This window comes from Homo sapiens, chromosome 2, assembly GCF_000001405.40.
Source record: "Homo sapiens chromosome 2, GRCh38.p14 Primary Assembly".
NCBI lineage: Eukaryota > Metazoa > Chordata > Mammalia > Primates > Hominidae > Homo > Homo sapiens.
Genome location: NC_000002.12, coordinates 200,387,344 through 200,408,357, shown reverse-complemented (window position 1 = coordinate 200,408,357; position 21,014 = coordinate 200,387,344). Strand labels below are relative to the sequence as shown.

The following is a 21,014-nucleotide window of genomic DNA, read 5'->3' as shown; positions in this document are numbered from 1 at the left end:
CCTTAAGAACTTAAGAATAAAGTTCATTATCTGCAACCTGGCATTCAACGCCAGCAACAATTGGGCTCCAACTTGCTTTCTAAATGTCTCTGACTTTACCCCTTCACAGACAAGCTCCCCATGCCCAGTTTTGAACCCCCACCCCCAGGCCGGGCTTTTCCAAGATATGTCTGAATTGCACATTCCAGGTGAAATGCCATGTGTTCCATGAAATCCTTCTCCATACCCCCTGCCAGAGGTCACCTTTGCCTCAACTCCTGCAGCCCTTGGTCAGCAAGTGTCTTAGCCCCTTTTCCTTTATAGCTCCAGTATTTGTGTGTGTGTCGTGTCTCCCAGATGGTAGGCAACGTGAGGGCAGAATCCTCATCTTGGCCATTTTTGGATAATCACCATGCCCATTCACAAGCGACTAATACGGTGCATGTAGTAGGTATTTAATACATATTTGTTGAGTGAGAGAATGCCAACTTATAGCTACACCAGGCGGCTGCTCTGAGTCAAAGGAAGACTCCACCATCTTGTGTGGACCATCCCAGCACTCTGCATCTACCACTCATGATAACAGTGGGCAGGTCTCACTTGATTGATGTCATTAAGCATAATATGGGTAGGGAGAACATATATATGTTCTTTAAATTTCAATAACAGAGACTGGAGGAATATTTATGAGATTTTTACATTCTTACAATTTTAATTCTGTAGAATAAGGTACTCATGGTATTTTGTGGAGTTTTAAAAATATGAAAAAGCACAGTAACTGCCTGTCTATCCTTCCAAGGCTCAGCTTAGCAGACAGACATTGGTTGAGCCCCCATTAAATGACAGGAGCTGAGGATACAAAGAAAAACTAGATACAGTTCTGCTGTAAGGAGGCACAGTTTAGCAGTGGAGCCAGAAATGTCTACAATAAAAGTAGGTAGTAAGTGTTGTACTGTCCTTATGAACAGGGTACTGTGGTGCTACAGAGAAGGAATTAACTTTGCTGAGTAAGGGTGAGTACTTTATAGAGAGCCAAATGTCATGGAAGGAGCGCTGGAGTTAGACAGACCTATGTTCTAATCTTGCTTCTGCTACATGCTAGCTCTATGACCTTGGGTGAACCACTTAAATTTTTGAAACTTGGTTCTGTAGCTGTAAAATGAGGATATTATCTTCTAGAGCCTATGTAAAAATGGAAAGGGATGATGCCTGTAAAGTGTTTCATATAGAATTTGGCATATATTAGCTACTCAATAGATTTTAAAAAGAAAAAAGTGGGAGCATTTGCATTAAGGGGTCCTTCCAGGTGTGGCTTTGAAGTGGAAAGACCATGTGGCTTGAATGTTGGTCAAGACGTATTTGGGGGAGACTACCTTGTCTACCCTTCTTCTTAGAGAACCTCCTACCTCCACAGACTTGCTAAGGGGTCAGTGGACCCAAGACTCTGTCCCCACTTTTCCCTTCTCTATGGTGTAACTGGTACAATGAGAAAGTCTATCTTTAGGGTGGTTAACATGGTTTTACCCCCTCTTCTTCTTTCATTTAATTATTTACTAAATGTCTACTATGATCAGGCACTGCACTAGAGGCTGGATACAGCAGTAACAAAACAGATATGGTCACTGCCAAAACTAGAGAGGGAAACGGATATAAACACAGAAATTAAAATATATCACTGCAACTTGTGCTAAGTGAGTGCTATGAAGGAAGCAATCAGAACACAGTGACAATGAATTACAGTGGTCAGGAAGTGGCCTGGCTAGAAAAGACAAAGTGAAACAATTAGACCCTCTGCCTTGAAGGTCTGAGCTATTCAACACAAAGGGAGAGAAGCTGGAGTGCAGATGAAGAGAGGCTGGACTTGCAACTGCCTCACTTTCTCTCCTTCCTGCTCCTTTAACTTTTCCTGAAGTCTCATGAGACGCTGCCAGACCTTTATAATAATAACCTCTTTTTTTTTTTTTTTTTTAAACTTGTGCTAGTTTGAGAGGGTTTCATTTTCTAGAGCAAGTATGGTGTGCCTGGAGGCAACATTAATAGCCGGGGCTGGAAATAAAAATAATAAAGCTAAATAATCCCGATTGGCAAAGGTGAGAAAAGGAAGATTTTAAATATAAGTCCCATTAGAATGTACATGACAGCTGGGAGAAGAGAGGCCTGAGACCTTTGCTCACACACTTCTTCCAGCATTGACATTGCCACCATTATTTACTTATGTGACTTCCTGCTCTACTGACAGGGAGCATATCTTTATATCCACAGGGTCTAGAACAATGGGTGGCATTCAGTAGATGATTCATAAATGTTTGTAAAAGGGATGACTCACTGAATGAGTAAAAGGAAGCAGGGAGTCTAGTAAGATGGTTACTGACATATTCTAGTTTTATTTATCCATTTTTAAGTGCATCTCTAATTAAGAATTAAGTATTACACACTATTAAAAAGCTTAATGGATTCAAGCCCAAAATGTATGGAGTGCCTCCTGGGTGCCAGGCAGAGCATATGGCTGGCTCTTTCCTTGAGAAGCTTGCAATCTTGGAGGTGAGCTTAACCTTATCCCCTATGATAAGGACAGCAATCAAGCAGCCAGCAACCTCCTCCTCACACCAATGGGAACTGGAGTTATTTATGGGTTTGCCGTTCCTGCAACTTTGAAAGGAGTTTTATAATCAGCTTTGGTCACATTTCTCAAATGCTGAGCCATTCAGAGATGCCTTAAAAACAGCTCATCTGTGTATGCTTTGCTTCACTTGCTGGGCCACTAATATTATCTACACAGTAATGGAGGTAGTTTTCCTATGAATTTTCTTGGGGAAGAAAATACTCTTTGCAGACCAGTACCTTCACATCATGGATAATTCCATAATTTAATTGCCTTTTCTAACATCTACTTCCTGCCAGCAAAAAATATGCATGAGGTGCTGTCATGTTCTACTTGGCTGACTTTTGGGGAATTAACACCAGGGGTACAAATCAAAACTAACTTTTTTTTTTTTTGGCAGGAAACCAGGAAGAGAAAGAATAATGCAGATTTGAAGATGGAAAAAAATGCAGTTTTTATAGAATTATGGGAAGTAAAAGTGGAGAGGATCTTAGAAACATTCTAGTTGTGGCTTCTCAAACTTTAAAATATATTCTGATCACCTGGGGATCTGATTGGGATGAAGATTCTGATTCAGAGGCTTGGGGTGGGTCCTGAATTCTACATTTCTAATCAGCTCCCAGCTGATGTAAATGCTGCTTGTCCAGGGATGTGGTGGGCAGAATAATGGCCCCTCAAAGACGTCCATGGCCTTATCCCCTGGAACCTGTTAACATGTTAGGTTACATGGCAAACTGAATTTGCAGATGGAATTGAGGTTGCTAATTAGCTGACCTTCAAATGGGGAGATCATCCCGGATTATCTCAGTGGGTCCAGTATAATCACAAGGGTCCTTATAATTTGATGGAGATGGAAGAGAGTCAATGGGACAGTGATGCAATGAGAGAAAGGCTTGGCCAGCCTCTCCGGGTTTGAAGATGAAAGGGGGCCACGAACCAAGGAATGCAGGCAGCTTCTAACAGCTAGAAAATGCAAGGAAGAGTATTCTCCCCAGGGCTCCAGAACCAGTACCTTGAGTTCAGCCCAATGAGACCCATTCGGACTTCTGACCTCCAGAACTAGAAGATAATCAATGTGTGTTGTTTTAAGCTGCTGAAGTTGTGGCAGTTTGTTACAGCAGCAACTGGAAATGAATGCAATGGACCACACTTTGAGAAACAAAGGCCTACACTTCTCTTCCTCCCTCCTTATAAGGAGATGTCTTTCCCTATCCCACCAACTATTACCTTTTAAAAAAATATACCTTCCAGATGGCAACCCTCTCCACAAAGGTTTGGGGGAATTCTAGCCATTCACTCATTCAAGCCACATTTTGTGAGGGAAAGTGAAATGAATCTCACACAATCTTTGCATCCAACGAGCTGACAAAAGAGTAAGGAAAATAAGGCAAAGTCATAAATAACTAGCACATCATTCTGGTAACAACGTTCTCTCTGAATCTTACCTGCTCCCTATTCTTTCTTTCATTAACCCAGACAGGTTCCCCTATCTTTCACCTGGACTCTGGAAAAGGCCTCCTAATGGGATTCTCTGGCTTGGTTTCTCCTCTCTCCAATCTGTCTTAAAACAGTCATTGCACAATTAATCTCCCCAAAGTGCTGAGCGTGTTCACTGATAGAGGGAAGGAGATGGCAGTGAGAAAGAATTAGAAGAGGGGAAGAGAGGAGATAAATTATGAAACAAGCTTCCACTGGAAATAAGAGAAACGTCATCAAAACCCATGTGGAATGGAAGGGAGGTTCTTCTGTTTTTCTAAGAATTCAGAGAAAGGAGAAAAGGAGAAGTGAGAGTGAAGACATAATAAAAATTTCAGATTGTGAAGGGGAAAATTTATGGAAACCATTCCTCTGCGTGAGAGTTTTAGAATTCGCTTTGGGGCTTAAAAAGTGGAGAAAGGTTTAGAGCTGCCCTTATGGAAATGAGATAGGAAATGACCTTGATGAATGATGGAATGCTGAGCAGGCCTGTGGGTCCATGGTGCTGGACTGCACAGATCTGTTACGGTGCCGATCGGCATGGCTTTCCCCAGCAATTCTCAACAAGCCAGAAGCAGGAGCAAAGCAATCATCCATAGTTACAAACTGAACTGTAAGAAATGTAGTGGTAGATTTTAGGGCTCAGAAACATAGGGGCTGAGTATCACTAAGGTGTCTGATGAAGGCATCTGTGGTCTATGAAGGGGGAGGATGAATTGGAACACTAGAGAAAGGCTAAGGGACAAGAAAGAACAGATGTTAAAGAGAATTAGAAGATGAGAGAGGTCAATGATAAGGACATGCTCAGAGAAGGGATGTTAGACATTGCCAGTATGTGGTCCCAGTGCTGCTTGCTGGTGTGTAAGTATAACCCCTTTTCTGCAGTCCAGCCCTTTGCTTTTTAAAAAGAACTAAAGTGTTCTCCACAATTCCATCTTTATAGAGTAAACGTGCTCTTCTGCAATTTTTCATAAGCTGTGCCTCCTAAGTTTTTACTATCTGATCAAGCTCACCTGAGCATATCCTGTTAAAATATGTTGCTATAAGAGAAGCACATTGCTCCAGAAGTGGTTGGATTAGAGCAGAGGACTGTGAGACCTGCACCTGCCTTGGTTGGGCCCCGTTTATCCATTAAGGGAGTCTAAGGTGGCATCAGCAATTTTAGGAGCCACATTAATTAATCACTAGGTCAAATGCAGGTTACTTGCTACTGACTCTCCTTCCGTTGAGTTTGAGACAAGTGTCCCCGGGCCTTTACTTGTGCAATGACTAGAACACAAAGGTAGGATTTTATATTCATCTTTCTTAAATTTCAATATGTAAGTTCTGACATATCACTCCAGCCAACTGTTATGTTTTAGAACCTTGCATTTTGCCCCATGATAAACAGGAATGTTTCAGCCATTCCTTCCAATTTTGTATCATTTTAAAAATCAGTTGACATCCTCTATATCTTAGATTTGTTATTTGAATTTTGTGTAGGCCATGGCCAAGTACAGAGGCTAGAGTATTACCATAAAAACTTCCCTCAAAGTTGAAATTAATCTTTTAATACCTGGTTCATTCATTTCTTCAGTCAGTCACAATGCACAGACTCAGAAGCTGGACTGCAGCAGTGACAGATGCATTGGGGTTTATAGTCTAGGAAGGCAAATGTTTGATGAATGTTATAGAAGAAGCAGTAAGGATGCTCTGGCATCTATAACAGGGGACCTGTCCTAGTCTAGAGAGTAAGGGAAGCCCCCTCCAAGGACTGAAGTTAGCTTAAACCGAGAATGATGGGTTAGTAGCACTATAGTTAGGCCAGGGGAATGGGAGGGAAGGTGGAACATTCCAGGAAGAGGGCACAACGTCTATGAAGAGATAGGACTGAGTGACTGGAAGAACATGCTCAAAGGAATGAAGGTCAAAGATTGCTGGAGCATTAAGTATGAAAAGGAGGGGGACTGTGGGTGATGCTGGAGAAGAAAGGCACAAAGCAAAAGTGGGCAAGGCCCTGGAAGACTTATAATTTTGAGGCTTATTCTAAGGGCAAGCCATTGAAGAGCTTTACTCAGGGGAGGAACATGATGCTTGTATATTAAAGGTCATTCCAGTTTCTTTGTGAATGTGTTGGAGGAGATCAAATGGATTCCTGTTAGGATTCTAATACTGTCCAGGGGAGAGAAAATGGACCAAGATGGGGCAGTGTAGAAAAAGACTCACAAATTTCTTGGGAGGAAGCAATTGATTTGCATTTAACTAGATGCAGGGAATGGGGAAGATGAAGGCACATGGGTGATTCCTTGGTTTCTGGCTTGATTGTCTATGTGGCTGGTGGGGTCATTTCCTGAGAAGGGACCAGTGGTGGTAGCTTTACTCTTTTGGGAGCCTGTGAGACATCCATGTCCAGATATCTAAGAGGCAGCTGAATCTGTAAATCTGGAGCTCCAGAAAAGAACTGAGCCAGGGATAGAGATTTTGGCACCATCAGCATCAAACTGAGTCTCAACCCTGGCTGCAAACTGGAATTACTTGGTGAATTTTCAAAACATAGCTAAACCTGAGCCCCACTCCAGATATCAAATCTGGGACTTGGCATTCCTTAAAAAAAAAATTTCCCAGGGACTCTAATATCCATCCAGAATTGAGAACCGTGAGTGAGAAATCATGAAAGTCATAGATAGGTAAGGGACAGTGGATGAGGCAAAGGAGAGAAGGTGGCACAGGACAGATCTCTTTTTAAGTGTAACTGCTCACCTGTCAACTCATTTACCTGAGTGTACTCACTACGCACCCACCCCTTTCCATTATTTATGTAATATTATAATTTCAAAAATACCAGTTCTAGTTTAGAACAGTTTTACTTTCTGTAAAGCAAAACTCTTCGAGAGGGCACGCTCTCTCTCTGTAAGAGGGTATCCATCCCAGGTATCCACTGCTGCATAACAAGTGTCCAAAATTTTGTGGCTCAGAACAACAATCTATTTTTCACTATTTCTGTGGCTTAGGAATTAGGGAGGAATTTGGTGGAGCAGTCTGCCTCAGGGTCTCTCATGGAGATGGATGGTGGGTGGGGAGGGATGCTGCTGCAGATGGGGTGTGTCTGAGCCTCTCTCTCCTTGTGCAGTCTCAAGGTTTCTCCAAGTGGTCTGTGTTGATGGGCTAGTCTGGGCTTCCTTGAAGCATGGTGGAACAGTCAGACTGTTTACATGGCAGCCCAGAGAGCCACTGCAATATCCCACCTGGTGAAGAAGTAGCAGAATCACCTGGCTTTGGAAGTCTTTTCCTTCCTACTATACTGATCAACCAGCTACAAAAGTCTGCCCAGTTTTAAGGGGAGAGGCAGGCTCCATCTTTTAATGGGGGAAGATACTATTGTTGTCTCTTTGAAAAATACAGTTGGCTTCAAATAGTTAAAGATAATGAAATCAACAACCCAGATTTCTTTTTACCAATTCTTCGTCTATACTTTGTCAAGTCACTGAACATTTGGAAAAAAAGCAAATTTATTTAACAGTTACAATAATACTAAATGAAAATTGATAGTTTCTGTTAAATACAACTTCTTTAATTCCTAGAAATGAGCTGATGACTTATAGAGTAAGAGATATTCAAATGGACTTCTCTCCTATCTAAAAAAAATAGTAAAATTGGAGACTGATTTGAGTAATAATAAAACTTCAGTCTCCCACACACAAAAAAGTAAAATTAAAATGAACTAAAGTATTTTAAATCTTTAAATTTAGTCCATGATCAACTTTTTATATCAGAATTTTGATTTTTAATCTGACACTGGGAAGTTTAAATATATACATATAACTCTCAAATCATTGTTAGCAACAGTCTCTTTGATCTACGTTTAAACAAGCAATGAGCTTAATACATATCTCATTTCATCCATTTAGTTAGCATATATTCAGTATATACCTACATGTTTTCTATAATTGCTCTTGATTCTTCTCATATTTTCCCAGAACTACCAGTTAGACTTGCACATAATTTTAGGGTACACTGAGTCCTTGAGTCCACTGGAGGTCTGTTTTCAGCCAGCTGGTTATACCTACATGGTATTAGGACTTAGGTAAATATTCTGTCTAGCCACTATCACTGATGAATTCTATACTTTAATTTATTACTGAGGACAAAAAAATGTTATCTTCATTCAAGGCATTTTGTTTTTGGCATTTTGTTTTTGGTATTTTAATCAGAGTAGAATACTAAGACACTTTAATCTTCTGCTTCTAACTTAGAATATTCAGTAAAATCTTTCTTCTCATTTTCTTTGCAATTTAAAGTCTCCACTTGGAGGGGGGAAATGGTAATTATTGACATTCACTCTCCCTGAGGGATTTTTTTTTCCTGCTCATTCACAGAACTTTTCAGATAAAGAGTACCATAAAGGTATAAGTCACTATTACCCTTTAACCAATACCAGAATAAAGGAGTTAATTATTTTTTAGTCAATACCAGAATAAGGGAGTTGGGTTAATCTCTAAATTATATTAACCTTGGATATTTCTTCACTGTGGTGTAGAGGAAGCCGATGATTTAAACACCATGGAAACTAGAAGCACACTCTCTCTCTTTGAGGGGAGTTTATTTGTTCACCTACATATCATTTTTCATTTTAACAGGTTTGATCAATTAAAAAAGAGCATGATGATTTGAACACCAGTCAAAATTATCATCTGATTGGCCAGATCTTGTTTTCCCAATGATTTTATGAGTTTATTTGTTTGCTTTTCCTCTAAAGGCAGTAAAAAAGAATTAAAACTAGTCAGCATTTGCCAAATTCCTGAAATTACAATTTGAGCCACTAAAAATTTTAAAAACTACAATTGTCCATCGGAAGATGAGTGGATAAAGAATGTGGTATATATACACAGTGGAATATTATTTAGCCTTACAAAAGGAAACCCTGCAATGTGCAACAACATGACAACACTGATGAATCTTGAGGATGCTATGCTAAGTGGAATCAGCCCAGCACAGGACAAATACTACACGACTCCCCTCATATGAAGCATGTAAAATAGTCAAACTCATAGAAGCAGGGAGTAGGATGGTGGTTTCCAGGGCCTGGAAGGAGGAGGAAATGGAGAACTGCTGTTCAATGGGTATGAAATTTCAGTTATGCAAGATGAGTAAGCTCTAGAGGCACTGTCCCTATGACTAACAACATTGTATTGTACATTTAAAAACACAATAAGAGGGTAAATTTCATGTTAAATGTGCTTAGCATAATGTTTTTAAAAAGAAAGAAAAACATTAAGTTATATAATTGATCCTAAATCATCATTTCAATATATTTTTGATAATTACCTTCAAGGATTGAGAAGCAGAGTTCCGAAGCATCCCTAAGACAGGAGGGCATCAGAAATGTTATGCCAGTGAACCACACATGGACCTTTAAGATGGTTCGATCAGGTTCCGTTATTTTATAAGAAACTGACATACTGAGAGGTTACGTGCTAAGTTCAACCTGAGGCATCCAGTTTGTATCAGGACTCAGGTTGGTGCCCATGTTCTCTGATCCGCAGCACAGTCTCCCTTTTGGTCTTTCACAGTGCCAGTGCGTAGGAGGTGGGAAAGACCACAGGTTCATCCAATGATAGAGCTGCAAAGGATTTTGGAGTTCATCTACATGAACTCCCATCGTTTGGCAGATTAAAACATTGAAGCCAAGTGAATAAATACAATGTATACACATTGTACACAAAGGACAGTTTTTCAGTATAATGATGTCCCTTTGTTACTTTATAATGTGGTTTGAAACAAAGTATACTTTTAATGGAGAATAAGATTACTGAATCATTGTTCACCCTAGAAGTTGAGAAGACTTCCCATACTAGTGACAGTATGACTTGGTTTGCTAAAGGATGGGAAATTCTAGAGTTTGCATTTTAATTTACTATTTACTTTAGAATGATGGCTCCCAAACTTTTAATTTATTCTTTTCAATAAACATAAAAATCTCAAGCTTTTCTCATATAGTTGAATTCCAAAATAGGTATTCCAATTTCCTTTTTAAATATATACATATGTATTTTGTTACACTCTGAGGTATTGTGGCAGCTACGGAAATCAACACAGTTGACTGACAGCCTAGCTGCCACTCCTCTTGGGTCCCCCAGTGCATTTGCACCCCAGCCACACTCCCCCCAGGAGGTTGCTAGTTAACAGCTGAGGAGGCTGGGGACTCGTGAAAGCTCATTTCTGAACATTCCCCCAGTGGGCAACGTTGGCCTAAACACTCCTCATCAGCCTGCCGAAATTCAATACTGCATTGTAAGTTTGAGACATTCTCTGCTCGATTTTCCTTTCTTCTCCCTCTTCTTTCAAGCTATCAGATTTGCATGGAAGTCTAAAGCCTCTCCCTGCCTGCTCTGGCTGCCTACCCTCTTCCCCATCTCTTTTAATCCCATCTCATCTTGGCATCTGTCTCTTGGATGACTCAAAAGAAAACAAATATGTGGGTTTTTTTTTCTAATTATACCTATCTTTTCCCCCACTGACATTCTAATACTTGCCCTAGACCCAGGAAGCATGTCCCACTTCCTTCTTCCTCCCTATGAGTTGAGAATTACCATTAGACAATAGTGGCTAAATTATTTAACACTGATTAATTAGCCAATATTTGGGGGGCACAAAGTCTATGATATTATTATTATATAATAATATATTACTATAGGATAAGTACACAAATAAATCAAAAGTCCACTAGGAGCTTATAATCAAGTTAAGGAGCAATGATTTACAGAGAAAATGTGGTTTTAATAATAATACAAACAATAACAATTTTAAGGTCTGAGTTTATGCATCTATCTGTTTGTCTGTCTACCTGTCTGTCTAATCTATCCGAACAGATTTCCAGTGTACAAGGTTAGGAGAGAAGGAACCATTGTTACAGCCTTCCAACATTGTCATTTTCTTCTCCGTAAAAACTGAATAATTTAATACGAAGGATCATGGTGAGAAATAACTAGAATGTTGGTAAACTACCTATAAATCCCAAGGGATTGTGAATAGAAGTTACTTCTTCCTGCTGCCACAGGGTTTCATTTTCGACATGCTCTTGTATTCTTTAGCATTAACCATCTATCTTATATATACCTCTCAGCTGCAGTGCACAGGGGCTACCAGGAAAGACTGGAAGGAGTGGGGGTGGAGAGGCAGGAGAAGCAGGAGAGAAACACTGTGAATTCCGATCATGTAGCCTGGAAAAAGCAATGCGATGCTAATCCTACAATAGTAAATTTCTTCTTATCCCCTGAAACTGAGGCTGACATTTCCATTTATTCATTCAGTTCCTTTAGACTCCTTGTCAAATCTCTTCTAGTTGCCAAGCAACAGTAACAGCAGTTCTGTACATAAGCATTAGGCAACAACTATTGTCAATGTTTCTCCTTTCTGTTAATGGGAAATTTAATGACCCTTTCCTATGAGAAAATGATGACAAGAACCTGTTTCATGGTGAAATCTGAAAGCTGTGTGGCTTGTGTTCTTGTTTGAATCCAAGGGTTGGACTAAATTGACTTCTACACTCCTGCAAATTTTTCCCCAAAGCTTCCATGGTTTGCACTTTCAAAACAACTACTTAGCATTAAAACTTGTGTCAAATCCCATGAAGCGAGTTATCTATTAAATGGAGTTAATGTTTTAAAGATGCATAATGATGGGTTTCTTCTGTACTCTCTCTAATCAAATGCTTGGATTTTTCTGACCATACTCCACCCCACATAAAGATTTGAACTATATGTCACTACTCTGTAAAATGCAGATCAAGAGAGTTACAAGAAAAAATAATAAAATAGTACATATTTATTCAAAAATAATTAAAAATCTGCTCATCCGTTGGGGACAGACACCACGACACACAGACATGAACACCTTCTATCTCCATCATCTGCAGAGACATTGAATATGTCACCTCTCTGGACAAGAGACTTTTCTCCTTTTTACTATTCCTTGTTTTTTATTTGAATGATTCTACACAATTATTGTTTATAAACCAATTTACCTCTATAACTGTAACAGTTCTAAAAGCTATTCACAGTGAGTGGCGCAGCTCAGCGATGACATTATAGACTGAGCTGTTCCCCATTTCCATATCATCGTATTGTCTAGTCTCACTTATTTTTTGTAGGCTCAGCAATAGCTATAAACGTTTGAAAAAGTCAAGTTCGCTTTTATGTTCTTTTTCTCATTTGGTCTTTTTACTTTTTCTTTCCAATCTTGGTTCTATGGGAAAATATATATATATATATATATATATATATATATATTTTTTTTTTTTTTTTTTTTTTTCCAGATCGAGTCTCACTCTTTTGCCCAGGCTGGAGTGAAGTAGCATGCTCTCCACTCACTGCAACATCTGCTCCCTGGGTTCAAGAGATTCTCCTGCCTCAGCCTCCCAAGGAGTTGGGATTATAGGTGTCCACCACCACTCCCAGCTAATTTTTGTATTTTTAGTAGAGACGGGGTTTCGCCATGTTGGCCAGGCTGGTCTCGATCTCCTAACCTCAGGTGATCTGCCTGCCTTGGCCTCCCAAAGTGCAGGTGTGAGCCACCATGCCAGGCCTCAAACAAAAATGTTAATTAACTAGAGCTCTTTTTCCATTTTTTAATTGTGAAATAAACAGATAAGCTCCCCCAGATTCTTTCTAGTTTATATCGTTAAGAGCTCATAAAGCAGCTCTACATTTATTATTGTACTTGATGACTTTGTGAGGCAGATTTTATTATCATGTCCAATTTACAGATTAGGAAATTGAGGCCCAGAAAAGTTAAGTGGCTTATTTCAGGGTGCTCAACTAATAATCTCTGACTTCTGTCTCCAAACTCCACACTCTTTCCACAGCCTTACCTTGTTGGAGATCACTTCCCAAGTGTACTGGGTCCTCTAAAGTGGCTTAGAGGTCACTCATTGGAATTAGTTATCAGTGCATAATTGGACACTTTGCAACTATTAACCCCATTTACAAAGATCTTCTTTACTTTCCATCACCAAGTTTTACTGCTGAATTGTATTCTATTTAAACTGATTTATGGGAATGCATTAAAAATATCTGACTAAAATTTCTATTTTGTCTATACCAGTTCTAATAATCCTTTCTTATTCAGTTAAAATTATTTAAACATTTATAAATCTAATTTACCTTGGTACCCACATATTTTACACAGAAATAATCTAACAGTGACTATTAAGCTGTACACTGAAATCATCTATAAATTTCTAGTATTCAATTTCTTTAAAAATACATTATTTAGAAAAGAAGCTATTAAAAAATGAGTATGCCCTAAATATAAGATCAGATTAGCCCAAAGATTTTGTTCTGATAGCTCACCTTCACAGAGTGACATTTGGGGAATTTTTTTCTCCCTTTATTTTTTTATTTCATGCAGCAGGATATGACCGGTTACTCAGCAAAGGACCTCATTTGGTATTGTGAAGCCTACCTGAGACCACCTGTATTTGATGATTATGTAAACATACTACTTTTCTGAAGAACCACAGGTGGTCAACGTAAGTAACCCAAGTTTCTGTTTTTAGAAGCAATTTAAAATATGCTTTATTTAATAGCAAAAAGAGTACTAAAATGAGATGACATTTCCATTAACCTACATTTCATTTTTCAAGAAGACTTGAGATTTTGCAAAACATCGTAAATGGGAAATGAAGTCTCTAAAGAACTTAACAATTCAAGCAGGCGTGTCCATTCATTCATTATTCATTCATTTATCTAACTCTATCTGGGGGTCAACTATGTATCAAACCCAAGAATAGTAATAGTAAGACCCATTCTCTGCCTCCAAGAAGCACAGTCTCACATGGGGAGACAGAGCCACAACTAACAATTACACTCCGTGGAATAACAGCTGCAGTGGAGAATGCAGAGAAGCCCACAGAAGTACAAGGTGAATGACAGAGGAAGGGCGAATCATTCAGGCAGGGTAGGAGAAAGAAGAGAGTTGAGTCCCTGAGGAGGACATCCCAGACAGAGGAAACAGCCTTTGCAAAGGAGGCAGACACATTCAAGGTCAGGGTGGCGAATGAGAGATGCGTGGAGATGCGGCAGTGGATAAGGGTGTAAAAGGTGGACGGGGTCCACTCATGCAGGGGATGTATGTTATGCCGAAGAGACCAGACTCTGATTGCAACCATATTTTCAATTTAAATCCTTATCGTTATAATCCAACAAGGTAGAGATATTTTAAAATGAAACAGTTAAAATGATTGTCAATTTTAAGTTTCAGTTGTCTTGAATATTAAACCTGAAATCATTAGCTACCTGCTTCTTTGGACTAAAAGCTGCATGAAGGCAGGAATCATTTCCTCACCAAAGCACCTACTCGAATTCATCCAATAGAGGACCCACTAGAGACAGCTGATGAACTCATTGGATTCCAACACTTCTTATGAAGTAATTAATTTCCCACAGTGCTCGACTAGATACTGCATCACCAACACTAAATAGATGTTTTATCTGATCTCTACAAGCTTGTAATCTAAGACATAACAGTTGTTATTCTTAATTTTGAGAATTAAAATGTCATTGCTCTGTGTGACAGATTGAGAAACAAACTAATCATAAAAATTTTTAGGCCATAAAAGCTAATAACTAAAGACAGTAAGTATACTAAAATAAATCAATGTCAAATTATAAACGTTCAGAATTTTCAGTTGTTTATTATGATTTATTTCATTGAGTTGAGAAATCTATTAACCTTTTGACATGGGAAGATGGAATTCACTAAATAAGTTAGAGAAGCACTACTTCCATTGTCATCACCCTCTTTCAAAATAGTGCCAACATTTTTATAAGTTACGGAAATGCAGTGGGAAAACACTACTGTTAATTGTCAGGTAGACATCTGACACTGCTCATGAGGAGTGGGATGACTGTGGCTCTTAAGCCTATGCATGGAGCATTTACACTGAACCTCTGTGATCTGTGTGCTAACAGATCAGCCTATTTTCCCTCATTGGCATGATGCCACCTCTGTTTTGAATAAGACACTCTAATGTCGGCTGCTCTGCCTACCATATTGGTCTGTCCACCAGCCATGTTTTGCAGGGATCAATTGCTATGAGTCTGATTCTTTAAAGTGCTTTTCCTTTCCATGGTCCAACTTTAGGAGCTGTTCTATCTCAACAGATATTAGGAAAGGGGCTGCCAATCCTCGATCAGCACCATGGCGCCCAACCCAGATTCTCAAATTGGGGAATACATATTCTCACTTGAATATATGACTGTGAGTTCAGACATTATATGAAGAAGCCATGACATAAAAGGGACATCTTGCTGCTATTTTTTACTCAATGGCCAATAAGTTTGTAAAGATATAGGAAAAAACAAACTCCGCTTCTCCTACTATGCTCTCACAATGCAGAATACTTCTGGGGACCTCTGGTCACCCAAATGTGTGGGGGACTTCTCTCCACCAAGTAATCGTTCAGCAGTGGATTCTTCAGCAGACATCAGCTGGGTGTTCTCCCACTTAGTTCTCCCAGTGTTAATTCTGACACTGTCTACCTGGAGATAGCATCAGATCCCACAGATTGAGAGCTCAGTTCCACAAGACCACCCCCCACTTCAGATACCAGCACAAGTACAATTGGCCCTCCATATCCACAGGTTCCATATCTGTGGATTCAACCAACCACAGAACCAAAATATTTGGGAAAAAAACAGTAAAAAATATCAGGAGTGTACTGAGTACCTATGGCTTTTGGAACATCATAAAATCAAAAAATCTTAAATCAAACCACCATAAATAAGGGACGGTCTATAATTTGCTAGAGTGGCTCACAGAACTCAGGGAACACATTTACTCGTTTATTACAAAGGATATTATTAAGGTTACTGATGAACACAAGAGAGAAGAGATACACAGGGCAAGGTATGTGGAAAGGGGTTCAAAGCTAACATGCCCTCTCTGGGTTCACCACCCCAAACCTCCAAGTATTTAGCTCAGTCCTTTTGGGTTTTTCCAGAGGCTTCGTTACATAGGCATGACTGCTTACATCATTGGCCACTGGTGATCAACTTAAACGTCAGCTCCTCTCTCCTCCTGCCAGTTTGGTGGGTAGGACTGAAAATTCCAACCCTCTAATCACCTGGTTGGTTCCCTGGGCAACCAGCCCCTATTGGACGATATCCAAGAGCCCTCAGCCAAAGATCAGCTCATCAGCATACAAAAAGACACTTATCATTTTGAAGATACCAAGGATTTTAGGAATGGTATATATATTTCATAATAAGTATCACAAAGTTACAGTGGTTTTATACTGAAATAATGTGTGGAATATATTATTAAATACAATGGATAAAAATTTTGCATCGATTTTTAAGACAACATGTAATAATACCCCAAGGAAATTGTATGTTGTCAGAAGTTAGTTTTGACCATGTGCCCAGAGACTTGGGGTAACACATTAGTCCTTCTGTGTCTTGGGGTCATTTTGATGGAAAACCCTGAGAAGCAGTAATATGTGGAAAGGGTACAGGCTTTAGAACCAAACACAGCTGAGTTTGAAGCCCTGTTCCTCCACATTTCTTGAGAGTTTGACTTTGACCAAGACAAGTCTGACCTCAAGCCTCAGTGTCCTCATCAAACAGAAAGGTTATTTAACATGAAGATTTATAAAATATGTAGCACAGTCGCTAATGGAGCCAGGTGATATTTTTAAAACATGTAAGATCAAGTCATATTCCAGCTTAAAACCTTCCAACAGCTTCTTTTTGCTCTCTGAATAATGCCCTACATGGCAGTATTATGGGTTCCAAACCTTTCAGTACATGGACCTCCTTTGGCAGTCTGGTGAAGCCTTTGGGGTCTTTCTCAAAATAATGTTTTAAAATTTATGAAATAAACTACATGTGATTACAAAGGAAACTACTTATATTGAAATATACTTAGAATATTAATAAAAAACAAACATGCTGCAGTAATATATGTACTTCTCTATTAACACATCAAATAACATTATATAGTAACAAGGTTCTTCAACTACAGTAAGTTTGAAGTAATGACGGACAACCATTTCAGGATATCTGCAACAAATGTAATTGGATATGAAAATATCTGTGATTTTTAATTGTGAAAGTCACGGGTACTGCTGCTCTACTGTGGGTTTTTTGTTTGTTTGTTTTTTGAGACAAAGTCTTGCTCTGTCACCCAGCCTGGAGTGCAGTGGCGCGATCTTGGCTCACCCCAACCTCTGCCTCCCAGGTATAAGCGAATCTCCTGCCTCAGCCTCCTGAGTAGCTGGGATTACGTGTGTCTGGCACCATACCTAGATAATTTTGTATTTTTAGTAGAGACAGGGTTTCTCCAGGTTGGTCAGGCTGTCTTGAACTCCCGACCTCAGGCGATCTGCCCGCCTCAGCCTCCTAAAGTGCTGGGATTACAGGTGTGAGCCACCACACCTGGCCCTACTCTGGCCTTTTTTTTTTTTTTGCCTTTGCCTACATTCATGACTGGAGGAAACGGTAAATTTCATTTAGATGTTAGTGAAGATAAAAATGTATTTGTTCTCATCTACATTCATGGACCCATGGATTCTAACCGCGATCCCTTGGAGATCCACGGACCTGGGTAGACAGCCAGGATTCTAAGTGGTATTCTTGGACTTCATCTCCCATCACCAATCACCTTTGTCTACCACACCTGGACCACACTGACCACCTGCTCATCAAACACATTCAACTTAGTCAACCTTAGGCATCTGCTTTGCTTTTCTCTCTGTCTGGAATTCTCTGTCCTCAGATCTTTGTATGGTTGTTTCTTTCCCCATCTTTATCTCAATCAAATGTCACCTCCTCCAAAGGGCTTCCCTGACCACTCCACACAGAGGAGCCACCTCCCCTTGCCTTCATCACACCGCCCTGCTGTTTTCTCCACAGTTGTTATCACCGCCTGGAACAACTGTGTTCATTTAGATATTCTTGTGTTTATTCTCTGCTTCCCTGCCCTAAAATGTGAGCTCCATGGGAGCAGGAACTTCATCTACATGTTCAGGGCCATACCCCAGGCATCTAGAGTGGTGTTTGGGTCTATTACCCTGTTGCTAAGTGAAAGAAAAAATAGTAATGGCTTCACAAATGTCACTTCTCTCATCCTTCACTCTATTTTTGGTATGGTGAGGATACAAAGAGATGAAAGACAAACTCCTGCCTTCACATGGTTTACAGTCCAGAGAAGGCTGTGGGGTGATGCTGTGGAAGGTGCACCAGCACTGTGGTGGCTTGGGCTCCTGTCCAGGCTCTCCCACTTGCCTATACAACCACTAGCAAACCAGTGCTAGGGCCTCAGTTCCTATGGTGTCAGACAAATGGGTTGGACAAATTTATCTTCATGGTCTATGGTTTATGATCCTTAAGAGCTAACATTACAAGGCAGCATATGTGGCAAGTGAGGGATTCTGACCCTCAGTGGAGGACGCAGCATAGACTTGGAAAGAGCTCTGAAGTGGAATCAGTCTCCAACAAATCATGAGAAGTGGGGATTTTCAGAGTCATGAACTCTCAGCGTTGAAAGAAACTTCAAAGGCTGCCCAGCGTGACCACCAGGTGATAGACTGGATGTCTCTCTCTGAGTCCATTTCTGAAGAGGTAATATAATACCCTTGCTCTTAGATGTAACCCAGCCTGGGGGTGAAGAGTATGAACGGTGGAATGGCACACTGCATGGGTTCAAATCCCAGCTCTGCTGTTTACCAGCTACGTTAACTTAGCCAAATTACTTCTCTGTTTCTCAATTTCCACCTCTGTAAAATGGAAATAACAACAGTATCTTCTTTATGGGGTTATGGTCAAGAGTAAATGAAAAAATGAGTGTCATATGCTTAACATGCTTTCAGTAAATGTTACTTATGATTCTTTCTGCTGAACAGTTTACTGTTGTGGCAAACTTACTACGTATCCCCCAAAACCACTTTCCCTTTCTCCACTGTAATTGAGTTTTTACCTGCTAGGAACTGCATTACCTAGTTTGGAGTTTCTGTGAGCCAACGTATAACTTGATCTTACCTTTTCCTTGACATTCACATGAGTATTGAGTTCAGCCATCTTGCTTCTAGTGGAATAGGCCCTATAAAGAAGGAAAACAAGATTAAGTTTTAAAATTGATTTCTCAATGTGTTATTTTTACACTCTCTTCCAACACAGTAAACAACTTCATTCGGTCATAATCATAAATATCATTTTAGAATGTAAAAATACTTTCAAGCTAAGCATCTGACTTAGACATGTTCTAAAAGCATGTTACAATAACTCTAGAAAACAAAGTAAAATCTTTTATTCATACTGTATTGACATGAAAAACGACAAAGACAGATGGGAATTTATCTAAATTGTGTTTCTTCCTATTATGTAAAAGAAAGGTGGTCAAAAATAGAGAGAAGGGAAACCGTACCTATTTTAACTAAGTATTGTCATCACAGTCCTCACTGTCTCAAAGCTTTTATCAGCTCCTTGGTAATCTAACAAACATTTATTGAATATATCTCTCCTATATGTACATAACAATACCAAGCACTATGGAAAAAAACAGGAGAAAACTATCCCAGGTTTAAACATAAGAATCCACCCCACAACTTCTTTTCTTTTTTTTTTTTCAACTTTTCTATCTGGAATGCTCTAATTTCAGATCTTTGCAGGGTTGTTCCTTTCCTGTAGTCTTTTTCTGGGTGGGGGGGGGGCATCTCAAAACCTTTTTTTTTGAGCTTGTCTCAAAACAAACCTAAAGGAAAACCTACCTGTTGCCCAGGCTGGAATGCAGTGGCGTGATCGCAGTTCACTGCAGCCTCCATCTCCTCAACTCAAGCGATCCTGCCACCTCAGCCTCCCAAGTAGGTGGAACTGCAGGTATGCACCACCACACTCAGCTAATTTTTGTATTTTTTGTAGAGACAAGGGTCTCACTTTGTTGCCCAGGCTGGTCTCAAACTCCTGGGCTCAAGCGATCCTACCACTTCGGCCTCCCAAAGCACTGGGATTATAGGTGTGAGCCATGCACCTGTCCTCTGCAGTCTTTATCTTAGCTTGAGTTATCACCTCCTCCAAGAGGAGGTGACCACCATATCTAAAGCTGCCACCTCTCCTGCCTTACTCTCCAACAGAATATAACAGTTTTAAATTTGTTTTTTCACTTACCAACATATCATGAGCAACATTCCAGATTGATACATATGTATCTTCATTGTAATTTTTATTGTCCATAATTTCATAATCTCCATTTTCAAATGGACCCTTAAAACTGCCCATAATCCTTCTGTTTCTTCAAAATCTTTAGGTTTTCTGCCTTTGGTGTCCAATCTCTTTGTAAAGTGGCCCCCTCTGAGAAGATCTGTGTTCCCAAAATCAAGCTGTTGTGTTTTCTTTTCCCTTATCTGGTCAAAATCTTTCACCATTATAATGGAAGACAGATCTTAAGACTTTAATAGATTCAATCTTTTTGAAATAGAGAATAAATGACTTAAATGCACAAACAGATTGATTCAGAAATTAGCAGCCAGTCAGGCCAAGATATCAACATATACCACCTATTTGCATGTTGAATGCTTTTTGTCAATCAAGAACCACTGAAACACTTTCTTATATTCCTTTTCTTTTCTTATAAAGAGTGTACCCACCTCCAGAGTAGACACATGCTAGGGATAACTTGCAAAAATTCTCTGATTCTTCCCCACTATTTTCTTTTACACTTACGTCTTAAATAAAGCATAAATTCAGATCCATTATCTATTGCTGATTTTAGGATGAAAGCTTGGTAATACGCAATGTTAACTCTATTACTACTCAAATTATTCTCAACTAGGAATCCAGAGAGACAAATTATCAAATATTAGAAACAGTAACATTTTATTTTTATAAGTTCCCAAATAATACTGCCACTGACACAAGCATTTGGACATGCTAGCAGGAGAGACCCTGCATACTTGCTTCCAGTAAAGCAGCGCTTTCCCAAA

At 39.6% G+C, this 21,014-nt stretch overlaps 1 protein-coding gene and 1 long non-coding RNA gene across 16 annotated transcripts in view, besides 2 other annotated features; one reads left to right on the top strand and one right to left on the bottom strand.

Moving 5' to 3' along the window:
- Window positions 1–11,703, top strand: part of LOC101927741 (uncharacterized) — an 81,319-nt gene extending 69,616 nt beyond the window's left edge. Inside the window, exon 7 of the long non-coding RNA XR_007088047.1 lies at window positions 2,982–11,703. This is a non-coding gene — a long non-coding RNA (uncharacterized LOC101927741). The remainder of the gene's footprint in view (window positions 1–2,981) is intronic.
- The window catches only part of SPATS2L (spermatogenesis associated serine rich 2 like), a 176,386-nt gene that overhangs the window by 73,907 nt on the left and 81,465 nt on the right, over window positions 1–21,014 (bottom strand). For 14 of the 15 annotated variants that reach the window (NM_015535.3, XM_024452788.2, NM_001282735.1 and 11 more), the window contains one exon: window positions 19,075–19,135. The exons of the other annotated variant lie outside the window; for it this stretch is intronic. In NM_015535.3, coding sequence (NP_056350.2) covers window positions 19,075–19,113 — 39 coding nt within the window. In that variant the 5' untranslated portion in view covers window positions 19,114–19,135. The remainder of the gene's footprint in view (window positions 1–19,074; window positions 19,136–21,014) is intronic. 15 annotated transcript variants of the gene reach the window in all.
- Window positions 1,799–2,998: an enhancer, noted in NCBI's record as "MED14-independent group 3 enhancer chr2:201270083-201271282 (GRCh37/hg19 assembly coordinates)". NCBI's record gives its function as "activates an origin of replication core promoter dependent on BRD2, BRD4, P300/CBP and CDK7 cofactors, and independent of MED14, by STARR-seq in HCT116 cells {active_cell/tissue: HCT116}" and the evidence as "EXISTENCE:reporter gene assay evidence [ECO:0000049][PMID:35650434]".
- Window positions 18,115–19,314: an enhancer, noted in NCBI's record as "BRD4-independent group 4 enhancer chr2:201253767-201254966 (GRCh37/hg19 assembly coordinates)". NCBI's record gives its function as "activates an origin of replication core promoter dependent on BRD2, P300/CBP, MED14 and CDK7 cofactors, and independent of BRD4, by STARR-seq in HCT116 cells {active_cell/tissue: HCT116}" and the evidence as "EXISTENCE:reporter gene assay evidence [ECO:0000049][PMID:35650434]".